At 32.5% G+C, this 16,594-nt stretch overlaps 1 protein-coding gene across 16 annotated transcripts in view; it reads left to right on the forward strand.

Annotated features, from left to right (window-relative positions):
* The window catches only part of CADM2 (cell adhesion molecule 2), a 1,115,441-nt gene extending 1,100,635 nt beyond the window's left edge, over positions 1 to 14,806 (forward strand). For all 16 annotated transcript variants that reach the window (NM_001375961.1, NM_001375960.1, NM_001167675.2 and 13 more), the window contains 2 exons: positions 5,982 to 6,107; positions 7,042 to 14,806. In NM_001375961.1, the coding sequence (NP_001362890.1) occupies positions 5,982 to 6,107; positions 7,042 to 7,160 (245 nt within the window). In that variant the 3' untranslated portion in view covers positions 7,161 to 14,806. The remainder of the gene's footprint in view (positions 1 to 5,981; positions 6,108 to 7,041) is intronic.
* Positions 14,807 to 16,594: the final 1,788 nt, after the last annotated feature.

Consider the following 16,594-nt stretch of genomic DNA (forward strand, 5'->3'; position numbering starts at 1 on the left):
GTATTTATCTGAATAACAATGTAGACACAGCTCTCTGTTAAGAAATTTCAGAAAGCTTTACTTCGTCTTTTTATTGCTATGAAATAGGAGGTAGATGTGAGAGGAAATATGAGAAATTGCCATTGAAATTTAGCCATTTAAATTATGTACTCTTCCTGCATCATTCAGGTAATACTTATCCTCAATCCCAAACATTTGTTTTAGTTGCTAAGAATAAAAACTTAAGGAGAGGCTCTTAGTTCTAACAGTTATGGGGATTTAAAAAAAAGCATAGCCAAAAATATTACTTTTTTAAAAATACACTTACTTGTAGACATATAAAGTAACTTTTCTCATATCCATATTATCTTTAAAACCTTAAAATCCTATGAAAATATGTTGATTTACTTTGTCAATGAAATGAAAGATGGAAGTTGAAGTATTTCCTTCACAGATTATAAGAATGAATAGGATCAAATAAATATGTGTTATAAATTAATTTCTTCAAAAGTTATGTTAATCTATCTCTGAATGTATCTGAAACAAACTGAAAACAATAATGAACATGATAAATTTAAATTGATCTACAACAAATTTTAACAGATCAAATCGTTTTAATGTCAAAAAAAAAAGGAAAGAGAAAATGGCCTATATATATAATCTGAGATTCTACTGTAAGAATGAAGGTTACAGGCAAAAAAAATTAAATACATCAATGAAACCTTTCCCTAATAGTGATCTATATCCTAAGACACTACCTCCATTCCATTCACTAGGTACAGATGTCATGTAATTCATATTTCAGTTGCAAAGATAGCTGTACCTGAATTGATCTACTGCATTAAGAATGAGCAAGAAATACCATCAGCATCAGAACAGAGAGTCTTTGTTCAAGTCATCCCAACAGTAAGATGAAAAATGAGAAAAGAAAATACAAGGATATGTAAAGATTATTTATTTATTTATTTTTGAGACAGGAACTCTGTGTTCCTTAAACCTCTTTTTCCTTATAAATTACCCAGTCCACAGGTATGGCTTTATTAGCAGCATGATAACAGACTAATACAGAAAGCATACAATTTAATTAAAAAATAATAATGGCCGGATGCGGTGACTCACGCCTGTAATCCCAGCACTTTTGGAGGCTGAGGTGGGCAGATCACGAGGTCAGGAGTTCAAGGCCAGCCTCACCAATATGGTGAAACCTCATCTCTACTGAAAATACAGAAATTAGCCGGGCGTGGTGGTGCACGTCTGTAGTCCCAGCTGCTCAGGAGGCTGAGGCAGGAGAATCATCTGAACCCGGGAGGTGGAGGTTGCAGTGAGTCAAGATCGTGCCACTGCACTCCAGCCTGGGCTACAGAGCAAGGCTATGTCTCAATAATAATAATAATAATAATAATAATAACAGCTTTGAATATTTTTAATATGTTAATATTTAAACATTTTCAATGATTAAAAATTTTGTTTAAGCACAGAAAATAACATTAATGCAAACATATGACCCAATACCATAAAACTACACAACTTACTAAAAGACACTGAATGTTTGAATTGTTAAAGACTCATGCTGATTATGTATAATACACTATATAAAGCAAAATGTATTTATAAGTTTATAAATCCCAATAAATAATCTGTTATATTTTGATTCTTCCAAAATTTTTCTGAACTTGATAGGGGGTGTTTTTAGAAGTCCTTCAACTGATTTTTAAAACCATAATACTGGTGTAATATTGGGCATACAGATCACTCATATAGACTAGAATGTGCAGAAACATATAAAATATATAGACAATTATTTTATGGTAAGTTACATAAAATTATTGATTAAAGAAATTCTGTGGGGGACAGCTGGCTATAAAAACAGAAGTTATATTTTAACACTTTAGCCTCAAATCATAGACCACAATACATTTTAGAAGGATTAAGATATAATAACAAAAGGGTTAGATGACAATAAAGATTTGTATGCATATAATCTTATTGCAAAAGTGTTTTTTATTCTATGACCCACAAGCCACGTGTCATAACATAATAATTTAATGGATTTGATTACATAAAGTTGTAAGACTAATCTATCTGAAAATACCAAAAATGAAAAATAAAGAGAACTTGCTAAAAATTGTTAATCTTTAAAGACAGCTGTTAAAGCAAAATTTAAATAGAAAAATGGGCAAATTGCATAGACAGGCATTTCAAAAGTAATGAATTAAAATAGCTGAAAATATTTAGACATTATTATGTTAACCTGTAATTTCATTAATCCAAAACATTTAAATTTAGATGTTACTTTTCCACATCAGAATGGCAAAATATTTTAAAATTATATTTTGATGTTAATGCAATATGGAGAAAAGAATCCCTCAGGTGCTGTTGATGGTGGGGGGGGGGTTGAATTTGTACAATTTTTTGGCAATGTACATTGACAATATTTATCAAAAGCCTTTACAAAATATTTATACCATTGATCCAGAAATACTTTTTAGAATTTACCTTCAGCAAGAAAGACAGGTGCAGAGATGTATGAACAAAAATGATTTCTAAGTTCTCTAAAAGAGTGCCCAGTTCTGCAAGATATTCAGCAAATAAAATGGATATGATTTATGACTGTCTGTTTATGAAAACTTGAGCAAGAGGTGGATTTTTGAACTGATTCCAAAGGATATTTCAAGTAATACAAATAGAGAATTCAGAAATATGACAGGTTTATTTTTTCCTCATTTTTGGAGATTTATGGGCAATGATAGAAATGTAGGGAAATACAAGAAATAGATATTAGAGAGCTAAAATTAACTAGTAACTTTAATTTTAACGTTTAATGTTTTTAAAGTAAAGCTTCCCCCACCCCCTCACCCCGACCCGCAACAGGCATTTCAAAGGTGTATTGTTAGGCTGGGTGCAGTGGCTCACACCTGTAATCCCAGCACTTTGGGAGGCCTAGGTGGGTGGATTTCTTGAGGTCGGGAATTCGAGACTAGCCTGGCCAACATGGTGAAACCCTGTCTCTACTAAAAAAATACAAAAATTAGCCGAGGCTAATTAGCTATGGTAGCGGGGCACCTGTAATCCCAGCTACTTGGAAGGCTGAGGCAGTAGAATCGCTTGTCCCTGGGAGGTGGAGGTTGCAGTGAGCTGAGATCATGCCACTCACTGAACTCCAGCCTGGGCAAAACATAAAACGAAACATAGTGTGTATTGTTATTTTTTTTTTTTTCAGGCAGAGATTTAGTGACCAATAGCTTTACTTACTCCTTTGACTCTCTTATCTTCAACTTTCATCTCCTGAGATCACTCAGGAGGCTTACATGTGTGAGGTATTTTTATCGGCTGAGCCTTCATTTAGTTGTCTAGAACACAAATCACTTTGTTTAATCAACTGTAACAGAGACTGGAAAATGCCTAGTTCTAATAACTGAAAGCAAAGAAGATGTTTGTTATCAGCTAGAAATCTCTGCCCCAATATACCCTTCTGATCACCGAATATTTTTTCACCTCGTTTCCTTTACACAAACCACTACCACATCCCATCTAAAGAAACAACGTAAAGTTCCATCAAACCAAGGTATCCAACTCAAAGCTCAAGATCCGCAGATATGCACAATTCTCTTCACCATATCTGGTGAAAAGAAGTGAAAATAAGACAAGTTATTAATTCTCCTCTCCATCGCATACACAATACACATGATAGAGGAGAAGTACTTCATGATAATAAATACTCCCATTTGGAATTAAACCAAGAATGGTATACACAGGGTAATCAGGGATCTGTAGCAATTATAAAAACATGCCAGGCTGGCATTACAAGTCCCCTCTGTCTTGACAAGGTTTGTTGTTCCCTGAAGAACCTGGATTCTCCTCTATTCATTCTTTTTTGCTTTCCCAAATTCTACCTTCTGTTGAGTTCAACCTAGTTAGTCATAGTCCATGACATATTTGAAGTAGGTGTCGGGGAGTATGTCCTCCATCGGGGATACATAGCTTTTATAGTCCACATTTTGCATTCAGCAAGTTTAGGTGTCTAGACGTTGTTTGAAGTTTCAAACAGTCAGACTTTTTTTTCTATCTAGACATATGATCCTTTGACACAGCAGTTACATTAAAAATACAGAAGACTCACAATCTATTTGTCAGATTAATGTTCCTATAATCCAGCTCTAGTTTTTGAAGGCATTCTTGCCAAGCCTAATTTACTTCTTTACTTTCACTGTCCGTTAAATAGATCTGTAAATTATAAATAGCTATCCTGAGGCTATCCGCAACAATGAACCTGGGAGAGCAGGAAGTACACTCAATCTGATCTTTGTCATAGGGCTGAGTCTTAGTGGATTTTATTGCCCAGGTCTTCACTCAGTTTTATCCTTCTATAAAGAGCTAATTTTCCAAACTTTTGAGTGCCCAAATGTCTGGGTATTCTTTTGACCTTTTCACTTCTTTTTTTTTAATATATATATATACATTTTTTTATTATACTTTAAGTTCTAGGGTACATGTGCACAATGTGCAGGTTTGTTCCATATGTATACATGTGCCATGTTCGTGTGCTGCCCCCAGTAACTCGTCATTTACATTAGGTATATCTCCTAATGCTATCCCTCCCCTCTTCCCCCACCCCACGACAGGCCCCGGTGTGTGATGTTCCCCTTCCTGTGCCCAAGTGTTCTCATTGTTCATTCCCACCTATGAGTGAGAACATGCAGTGTTTGGTTTTTTGTCCTTGCGATAGTTTGCTGAGAATGATGGTTTCCAGCTTCATCCATGTCCCTACAAAGGACATGGACTCATCCTTTTTTTATGACTGCATAGTATTCCATGGTGTATATGTGCCACATTTTCTTAATCCAGTCTATCATTGTTGGACATTTGGGTTGGATCCAAGTCTTTGCTATTGCGAGTAGTGCCGCAATAAACATGTGTGTGCACGTGTCTTTATAGCAGCATGATTTATATTCCTTTGGGTATATACCCAGTAATGGGATGGCTGGGTCAAATGGTATTTCTAGTTCTAGATCCCTGAGGAATTGCCACACTGTCTTCCACAATGAAAAAATGCTCATCATCACTGGCCATCAGAGAAATGCAAATCAAAACCACAATGATATACCACCTCACACCAGTTAGAATGGCGATCATTAAAATGACCTTTTCATTTCTTCTTGAAAACTGGCCATCCTTTTCTGGGCTGATTTCTTGCCTGTAAAATCCTAGTAAATGCAGAACATGAAAGTATATTATTAATTTGTCTCTTTCCAATCACTTTCTCTAGAATCACAAGTTCCACCGGCATCTAAATCTTGATGCTGAGTATTCATCTTCCTCTATCAACAGCATTTAACAGTCTCAACCCCTGCTTTCCCGCCAAAATACATTCTTCCCTTTGATCAACTACAGTGTTTTCTCCAATATCGCTTCCTCTCTGAATGTTCTCTCCTTTTCAGTCTGCACAACTGGAAGTTCTTCCTCTTCCTGAATTTTAAATATGGAAGTTTCCAGTGGTCAGTTCTCAGACCTCTTATTTTCTCCATCTAGACACCAATGGGTGAATTAGTCAATTTCCATAGCTGTAATAACATTTATATAATGATAAGTCTCAAATTATCATTTTCATCCCCAGGCTTTCTCATGACATTATTTTAACTTGATAACAGTATAGTTTTGTTACTCACACCAAAGAAATATGCAGACATACACACACATATTTTCAGATGGAGGTGAGGAGGAAGGAAAGGTCTATAGCTATACAAAATTATATATGTATATTTGCTTATCCAATCTTTTCCTTAAAATGTAAGCTCAATGGCAATAGTGATTGATATATCAAATGTTATATCCCCAGATACCTTGTATATTATATTTGTTCACAGGATGACTGGTGTAATGCACGTTAATGTATTATTTAACAGAAATTGTGTTAATTTTCAAAATAACTCATTCTAATGCAGTTATGTATTCTGTGACTAAATAACACATTAAATAGAACAATATTTTCCTGTCTTTTCCAGATCCTAATGCTTTGGCTGGCCAGAATGGCCCTGACCATGCTCTCATAGGAGGAATAGTGGCTGTAGTTGTATTTGTCACGCTGTGTTCTATCTTTCTGCTTGGTCGATATCTGGCAAGGCATAAAGGTACGTTATATTTAGCCAGAGTACACAATGTGGGCAAAATATTCTAGACTAACTTCATTATAAAATATGATATCAGTGCATATATGTTTCTGTACATGTGTAGAATAGGGAGATAGAGAGAAATGCTAAATTATTTCAGCGAATTCTTAATTATTTTACTTAAATTTAAAGTTGGATTGGCTTAGCAAAATAATGTTTAGCCAATGGCCAGATGTCATAGAGTAAGCCACTGGCTCAGAAAAATAGAAAAAATATGGAAGAAAGTTTGTAATTTATATCTAGAACTGAAATCCAACTATAACTATTTGGTTGATGTTTTTGTCAGTTTGTGAACATCTGTGTAGCCATATTTAGTGAGGAAAATATATATTGTGCAACGGGCCAGGTACCACTTTATTGCTGTAACCTACTTTTAAAGAAGTTTACCAAAAGAAACGGTGACAAGTTTGACATGACCGTTTTTAAGATCTTAACAAAATGTAGTCCCAGCTACTCGGGAGGCTGAGGCAGGAGAATTGCTTGAACCCGGGAGGCGGAGCTTGCGGTGAGCTGAGATCGTGCCACTGCACTCCAGCCTGGGCGAGAGAGCGAGACTCCGTCTCAAAAAAAAAAAAAAAAAAAAAAAAAAGATCTTAACAAAAGACCCTGTTTGCTACAGCTGTAAGGTTCACATTGATTTTATCCATCATTAAAGAAGTCACAATTACTTATTACCCATTTCAGTTTGGCTCTTGCCTGTAGTAAATCAAGCCATAACTTCACCTGCAGCGTACCTGAAAACTGTAAGAAAACAGTGCAACTTTAGAAGAGTCAATCGGGTAGCATATTAGGTCTCAAAAATCTGGCAAAAGTTTCTTCCTAAATAATGTAGCTTTAATGCTGGGTATTTTACCAGTCTCACAGAGCTAACATATTTTTCTTCCAATATATGCAGGAACGTATTTAACAAATGAAGCTAAAGGAGCTGAAGATGCACCAGATGCTGATACAGCCATTATCAATGCTGAAGGCAGCCAAGTCAATGCTGAAGAGAAAAAAGAGTATTTCATTTAAGATGCAGGCCAAGATTCTGAGTTTTACTACCAGGCTGAATGCTGGAGAAAACTGGCTATCATCTTTCAGAAGTCATTTCTACCATCGTCTGCTACCCTTATTAACTCCCATACTGTACTGCTATCAGTAGCCAGTGTATACCAACAATCAGCTGTTGAAAGCATCATTCTTTAATTACTGTACCATCCATAATGCAGGACATTTCTTACTGCCTAAATTTCACACCATTGCTCTTTTAACATACAGTGCTTGAATATACAGCCTTAACAATGTTAATCATCTCCTTGGATCATTATATTGAGTGGTTTTTATACATTAAAAAATGTATGCAGAGTTTTTTTCCCCCATTTTTTCCCCTTTAAGTCATAGACCTTATCAGTTTGCCATTGGACAGCTTTCACAAGTAACAGGATTAGGGAAGGACATAATGTATTTAAGAATAAGTGAAGGTTAGAGGTTTACAATTAATGTTTTCTACATGTCTGTCTTCAAAGACAACATGCTTTGGAAACATATGTCCTAGAAAACATAAAATTAAAAAAAAACACTATAGTGTAGTTTTTGGAATGTTGGAGATTATACTGGTAAAGCTGTATCGATTTGCTATTGAAATATAGTATTTGATACAGGAGCCATGTGTACGAATTGCAATCATGACATGGTATTTTCTATAATTATAGAGATCTTACTATTAGGATATTGTAGCTTCATTTACCAATAAATTATTCCAAATGATTTACTGCTTTTGGAATCACAAATATTTAATTCATTTCTCTAATTTGATTCTATAATTTATTTGCTTCATAAAGATTCACCTGCCTAAACAATATTGAAGTATCCATAGGGCACAATTTTCAGACATTTTAGTATCTGTATATAGTGCATATAATAAATCCAATTAAACATTATTTGATACATATTTAACTTTTTTGGCTGTATGTAATTCAGTCATAAGTAAGCATTTTCTAACGTCCATTATATCCCTTTAGGTATTACTTAAACCAATATTATAAGTAGATAACATGTATTAGTATTTTTGTCTGTATGTCCTAGCACTGTTCAACAACAAATTTTTCTAGTTCTTGTTAATTTTTATTTGTTATACAATGGAAGCACAATGTTATAAGGAAAGGTAATTTTAAGCTAACAACCAGTGCACAGCCTCAGGTTTTAAATTACAACCACAGTTGAATAATAACCTAAAAATAAATTTTAGTTTGCTAAAAATTTACAAATTTTCATTTTGCAGTTCCAGAGCTGCTTACCTATGTTGGTTTGCCAAAAAGAAGTGTTTAAGATATGTTTTCTGTATAAATGAACTAATTCTTTATATTAAATTCCTGTCTATGCATTTTGTGAGGTACAAACTGATGAAACAGTGAGTGATAGAGAATTTCTGCCATGCTTTTAACTCCAAAGTGAAAGTCTCTTTCTCTGGATTATTTTAAAATTTTGGCGTGTTTAACCATTAAGAAATGCTGTATTCTTAAATATGAAACAGTTAATCTAAAGTCTTATTATTTCTTCTAGTAAAATAAAATATTGTTAGATTAGTTCTCATTAAATTTATTATATGCTAAAGAATAAAACTCCAGTTAGATTTAAAAAAATCCCATTTACAAGCATTGCACCTTTAAGAAGAAAACAAATATGACAGTATGGTAGCTATACTTGTGATGTCTGACGCATGATGGCCTATGGTTTTAAAAATAGTATTGTGGAATATATTTTTGGGTAATAAGAATGGTTGAGTGCAACATCATGTATTAATATCAAATGAAAGACAAGGGTGCTGTATCTTTGATTATTTATCAAAAAAGTATAAATCTTTTAAGGAAAATGTTAGAATTTTAAAGTTTTTTTTTGATTGTTGAAGCATTTATCTTGTTGATTTCTTACAAAAGAAAAAGGACGATGTCAGTCAAGCAGCACTTTTTCAGAATATACAGAACATAAATAATATGATGTGGTTGAGTGTTAACATAATAAATCATATACAGTATGACATTTTAAGGAAATAAGTCTGCATTGATGTGATTGCATGCTTGTTTTTACAGTTCACTCCATACCATCTGTGGAAAAATGCAATAATATGTTAATATAGTATGGTAGTTTGAGAGAATCAGGTAGGTGCTACTAGACACATTGAAACTAGAATAGGTTTATAAACTGTTCATATCTTTCAATGCATAATCTTTAGAAAGACTCCACAAAGCAAAATTCATCCTGTTAGTACAAAATGGAAAGGTTCTTATTACAGAAGTAAGTTGTACAAACTGCATCATCAATTACTATGTAAAGCCTAATTTCAGGATGCACTTACAAAATTGCTACTCTTCATCGATGCCGTATTTACATCCCTCTTCATTTCATCTATATTCTACTTGGCTCCAACAACTAAATTGTTGCCTAAATAACTCAATCATTATTTATAGCACTGTAAAATTAGAAATCCAAAATTGGTTGCATTTCATGATTTTTGACTCTTTTAACCCTTCAGAGTAATATAAAATCTCATTAGAACTCTTATAAAACCAGTTAGCTAAAACAACTAGATTATTATACTAGTTATAAATGCTGGTATATTATAATTTGTGGGATCTAATTAAATGTTTGCCTATTAAATATAGTTTGATTTAAATGAGACACCATGTTCTGAACTGGAGAAAACAATATCAATGAAGTCATATTTTCATACCTTTAAAAATTATTTAATTTTCAACCAAACAAAAAATAAATTGTAAAAATTATGCTCATTTCTATTCCAACAAGTCAGAAAATAATGACATAATATTTCTAAATGAGAATGATGTCAATTTCATTGTCTGGAACATGCACACTTGTGTGCACATAGAGTCAATTTCTGTCTCTTCTAAGTGAGCACAGTAGGTAGGGAACTCAATGGAAGCAGTGTGCACACACACACACCCTTAGTAGAATATGGAGCATTATTCTTTACCAAAAGTAGCTATTCTCTGCCAGTGTACTGTTTACAGTGTAAATTGATTGTCCTCCGTCAAAATCAAGTCTAAGCGGCATTTTACTTTTCTTTTCTTTTTTATTTTCCATTTTTGGGTGTTCTAGATAGGATTATTATCAAAAGTAGGAGGAAAAAGAAATGTTTGTGAGTGCAAGATTAAAGACAGAGCGCATGAGCAGAGTACTGATGGTGTGCGTGTTTGTGTGTGTGTATATGTGTGTGTATAAGAGAGAAAGAGAAATCGAAAAGAGAGAGAAATTTCAACTTGTTTTCTTTTACCAGAGAATCCAAGAAGCAGTTTAAGGAACCTGATATTGGAGTTTAATCTAGAAACTGGATGATCTCATATTGATTCATGATGCTTAATCTTTCATTGAAACTCCACAATTAAAATAACAAATAGAGAAAGAAAACTAACTTTCCTAAATATGGCAAAGAAACTAACACCTCATTTATTTTTATTTCTTTGTAAAAATATAAATATCTCAATCAAAAGTACAGGCTCATTTGTAATTATGTACTCATGATTGTAACAGCATTGAGATTTCATATAGGCACATGTATAGCAGCTGTTTGACAGTGATGGCTCTTCCATGTAACATAGCAGTTATCGTGTAATTTAGTGCCACTTATTGCAAAGTGTTACCAAGGGGAACATTTCAAATGCCTTTTGTTTTTCTTTGGACATCAAGGTAATTTAGTGGACAACAAATATTAAATTTTACATTATGCTTTTTAATTGTGGAGAAAATGCAAAACCTCATGTCTTACCACAACTTTCCCATGGTATTGCTAATTACTTAGAGTCTCTAAAATTGCCCAATATTATTTCCCTTTGCAAATGGTAATTTCTGATAAAACAATACAAAACAAAAAAAAAGCAGTAATCACAGCCAAATAAATGAAACACCTAATGAGAATTACTGTTGAGTAATGCTTTTTATTAAGTGGCACAAAGTACACACTAAAAACTATGCAAAATATAGGTAACTACAGTGTACGTACATGTAAGTATCTTGTACTTGCTGTGTATGGATGTTGGAAACCCATGTAATTATAATATGCATTTTGAATATTGGGAAAGAGGAAATCTTAGTGTAGATAATAGAATTTGTTTTGAAATATACACTGGCAATATTGAAATATACTCAGTGCAATATCTGCAGTTCTATTGCTGGATACTTAATGCAAAGGGATTTTAAAGAATTCTTCAGCAAGATCCAAGAGGTTGCTAATCTTCACCTCTCACATACTAAAGCATTCATTAAAAATACAACTAATTCAAGGACAAGTTAAGTTTTTCTTATTAATGTGACACAGTAACATTTTTATTTGGATTAGTTTTTGGTGTTATTGCAGAGAAAGAAATAACCTGAGTTTTAAATTTCGATTCATATCTCATTGAATTGGGAATTCTTCAATTTTGTTTGAAATGTGTGCATGTTTTCATAGATTGTAGCAAGTACAAATGTATTCAATGAAAGAACATAGGGTAGTTTTAATAGTTAAAGTCACTATATCTTAATGGGAATTTTAAAATATCTTTTCTTTTTCTATTCATTTTTTCCCTTTCTCTCTCTATTCTACCCCCAAACAAGCCCTTTGCACTCATACCCTTCCAAAGGCAATGGATTGAAAGTAGCAAGATAATAAAGAGAGTTAAAGGGGACAACATATAACAATGGGTTCTAAAATCATCAGCATTTTTATGTATTGAGATTATTAATATTGAATGCAATAGTTATTGGATATAGCTGGTAAGTTCTCTGCCATGCATACTTACAATAATCCTTCTACCTCTCACTTTTAACATGGGCTATGATACTTCAATATAAATAGAGGAAATAATTATTTACCAGATATCCCAGGAAGCATTCTTATGGAACTATTATAACAGTGCACTCCCCACCCCCTGGGAAATCTCAAAAGCCAAGTTCTTCAGTGTATTCTATGGTGTATGAATCTGCATTTGTTTTTCCTTTTCTATCATTAGCTTTTCCTAAAGGCAAAATATTATAACTTTATAAGAATAGTCCTTCTCCTGCCTATTTAATATTTCAATGTTAATATAATTGTATTGGTTTTTAAAAATAATTAAAATGGCAACACTTTGCGATCCAATCTGATATTTAATTTTTAAAATGTAACAATTTCTTATAAATTCATGCTGTGTTTTAAGTAAAAATCATGTATATGAATTATTTTACCAAGTAGTATTATCTGCACGAGACAAATTTAAGTATTTTAAAAATCATCCTTATTAATAAATAATCCTCATATAATGCACAGTATTGCCACAAATGCCCACTTCATTTTGTCTGCATAGACATATTAAGAATTTTTCAATGATGTAATTTAATTATCCTAAAAGAAATGACAGATTCTTCTGTAGGAAAAAATAAAAACATGAATATCTCAAATTATAATGGTTAATCTCTAAAATATGCTTAAAGTAAGATGTTTCTATGTTATGTGGTTATGTTATCAATAATATTTGGTTGATCTTCACATATTTTATATGCATATATATATCAAGAAGTTATATATATATAACTCAAGAAACTCAAGTTATATATATATGTCAAGAAATGTATGATTATTTTGGAGAGAATGGGCCCAAATGTGAAAAAGATATAAAAAAAACAAAAAAAACAAAAAAAAAACACTATTTTCCCCTACGAAATATACTGTATATTTCAAAAGAAGAAAAGTTAAAAGATATTTGAAGATTGCAGGGGCAAAACAAAAACCTACCAGGGCTCAGCACTTAAGCACTTTTCCCACATCCAGGGTCAAAGCAGCAGTAACTACATGGACTTTTAAGTGCGGTATGAAATGCAACATTACGCTTACAAACAGTACTGTCAAACCTCAAATGCTTTCTTTCTTCAGATGCTTTTTCGTGTACATGATACTAGTAGACACTTTTCTCTTTATATTTACTGATAGTGAAAATCATACGCAATAAAATATTGATGTTTGAAGGCAGTGGTCACCAATTGGTTAAAAAACTATGAAATGTAAACTGAATTGTTATATCTCTATCCTTTTTGCTTTTCTCTGTGTTTTTAATGTATGGAATAAATCTCATAAATAGAAAGAAAAATAATCTAGAAATTTTTCAAAGCTAGTACTCTTTCTCCTTATAAATGTACACAATTTTAATCTTTTTACAAATTTATTTAACTGTACCTACTGTACTTATTGTAGATTCAATGACGCAGTTAAGTCATCACCCAAGGATTTATGAATTTGAGATTACTGACCTGTTTTCTTCATATTGCATTCACATCAATATTTGTGAATTTGTTGTTCAGCTTTTCATTCAAACAAAAAATATTCCCTCAAGAAAGCTCCATTTTTATCATAAACATTTCAACATAACCAACATTAGAACAAGTCTGCCATGTTAAAAATAATTTAAAGACTTATCTCTGAAAACGGTATCCAGAAACGCAGGTGTTCCCAGTAATGTAGCTTCAAAAATAAAATGTGCTATTTATATGACATGAAATTCATAACTTTTGGAAGGGTATATTTATGACAGCATAAAAAATAAATTCTGTGCTATAAAGAAGATCCAACAAATTAACCATATAAGCACAGAAAATAGAGAAACACAGTTATTGAATCTACTCTTGTCATTAACATTTTCAAAAAACAAAATGCATATTGTAATATTTGGTACATGACACTTGCATGTTGATATGCCTATATACTTACAAAGTATTCAATGTGTACTTAGCGGCGCTTAAAATATGTCATGTACAACTCTTATAAACATTTTTACAGGGTTCCCATTTGCACTTCATCTTTCAGTAAAGTCTTGTCAGAAAAAAATTGTCTGATAAATATGGAAAAATAAAATTTGAATTTTAGTTATCTGTTGGACATTACTGAATTGTCTATTCATTTAGTACATTTTCTTAACCTTGAAAACAGACATTGAAAGATGGAACTTTCTTTTTTCCAGTGACAGGTCATTAAATCGATGGTACAAAACATACTTCTTTATGCCAAACACATTATTTTGAATACCTTTTTTTCAACTTCATACATTATCCATCCATTTTAGTTTTCCTCGATGATGCCCATTTTCTTTGTAAATTTCTAAGTGGAAGTTTTAAAAATTAAGCATCAGTAAAATAAATGTTATCTTATTTGTACAACATTTAATCGTTATTCCTTGGAATATATGAACCTTGTAAAGTGATGACTAAGGGTCAAAAAAAATGTTGCTGACTTAGGGAAATTTGCTTGAGAATGCCAAAATTTTAAAACTCTGTAAAGGTAATTTTACATTCACTTATGTGTGTTTACTAATGTTGAGTAGGAACAGAAGCAAAAATACCTAAACCTATTTTTTTTAACCTTCACACTCTAACCAGTATTATATATTTCAGCTACCTAAGATAATGCAATTAATCATATATCCAACCTAAGCTTCTGCCAATAAGGATTTCAGATAAGCTTTTAAATTTATGGAGGATTTTCTTTGTGTCTTTGGAAGTTCACTTACCATAAAGTATTTTATAGTCTACTTTAAATAACAGATTTTGTTACACAGGGTAAGCCAAAGGCTGTACAAGATTTAGTGTCATTGGGTCTCATATTTGTGTTAGACCATGAAATATTCCATTAAAATTTATCTGTAAATACAAGGCAAGATTTTGTATCTGGTTTATTTTATTAAATAACGTTTTATTTTATTTTTAATTCACATTTTTCCATTTAATATAAAAAAATGCCCTGCATTACAGGTTAGGAAATTTGACACTGTATCAAAGATCAGATTCAGCACATCTGAAAGAAAATAATGGTATTTGAAGTAAAACATTCATCCACATGTGTTCTTTTTTTTAAAAAAATTACCCAAAATGCCCACTCTTATGCAGCTTTTCAACTGTATACAAATATGGAACCCGTGCTTGCTAGGTAAATCCACTCTGTTTTCATAATGGCAATTCTTATTCTGGTCAAATAATGTATAGAATTGAAGGCACACTAGAAATTCTGGTTCATACAATTCACTAAAGGATATTAAGTCTAAGTGTTATTAATAATTGGGTTTTGATGCCTATGAAGGCCCTTCATTATATGATAATTCCAGGATATTGCTAATATATAACAGTATATACATTTAAACTAAGAAGTTCCAGGAAATGTATGGTTTTTTTTAAAATTTCAAATCATACTTTATCTGTTTTGTAAAATTTAAGAATTTTTATCCTCTAGTGTTTTGAAACCTAGAAAACATACAAATGGCTAGAGAAAAGATTAAAGGAGAAAAACAGTTTCTCAGTTTCATTTCAAATACCACTTAGGCTGCTCTGTGTTACATGTCATTTAATCAACACATCACTATAGGCTTAGAATGAGGGTTAGGCTTAAGTTTAGGAAAAAAAGTAGCACAAGTATTGAACACCTATATTGTCATCAGTTCACCTCATGAACTTTACCAAGAACCTGAACATAGTATTTTGTGCTGATACCTCCATAACTTAGTTCTGTAATATAATTAAATTATCCTTCCAAGAATTGTTGTTTTCTTCATATTTAAGCATTCCTATGCTGAACGGAGGAATAAGGAAATTCAGTACTTTAAAAAAATTGTAATTATACAATGCATCTTATGATTTAAGCAAACAAAAAAATTACAAATGAATGACCTATCTTTCAACTACTGTTTATGATCTGAAGTTTGATATTTTTCTACATCGATTAAAAAAAGGTCTGACTAATAAGCACATACTTTACTGTGCTAGAATATACAGAAAATCAAATCACCTTCTTTTTTTTTTTTTTTTTGAGACCGAGTTTCATTTTGTTGCCCCACAGCCACCTGGGTTCAAGTGATTCTCGGGCCCCAGCCTCCTCAGTAACTGGCATTACTGGCATGCGTCCCCATGCCTGGCTAATTTTTTGTATTTTTAGTAGAGACGGGGTTTCACTATATTGGCAGGCTAGTCTTGAACTCCTGGCCTCAAGTGATCCACCTCAGCCTCCCAAAGTGCTGGGATTACAGCTATGAGCCACCGCACCCGGCCAAGTCTCCTTCTGAAGATTGGCCCAAACAATCAGTAGAATGGGTGACTTACTGAGAGTCCTAAAAACACATGCCTTGTACATTCTACCAAAACCTTCATTCATTTTGTCTTTACTGATCAAAATCCTTACACAGATAGAGGATACATATAATATGAACATACGGGATATTTTACTGATCCATTGTTATGGAAGTTAGTATACAATAATAATGTAATTTAGGCACCTTTAAACTAATGAAGTATTTCTGGAAAACATCATAACCTTGGAATACTGCAACCATTTACTCTAAAATTTGAAAACATTCAACTAAGTTATATTTCAGAAATATGTCTTTTTACTTCCGAATGAAAAGAATATAAAGAAGTGAAAATTTTTGCAACCTATTGGGAGATCAAAAAGGAATTGG

The sequence above is a fragment of the Homo sapiens genome, chromosome 3 (assembly GCF_000001405.40).
Source record: "Homo sapiens chromosome 3, GRCh38.p14 Primary Assembly".
Classification (NCBI taxonomy): Eukaryota; Metazoa; Chordata; class Mammalia; order Primates; family Hominidae; genus Homo; species Homo sapiens.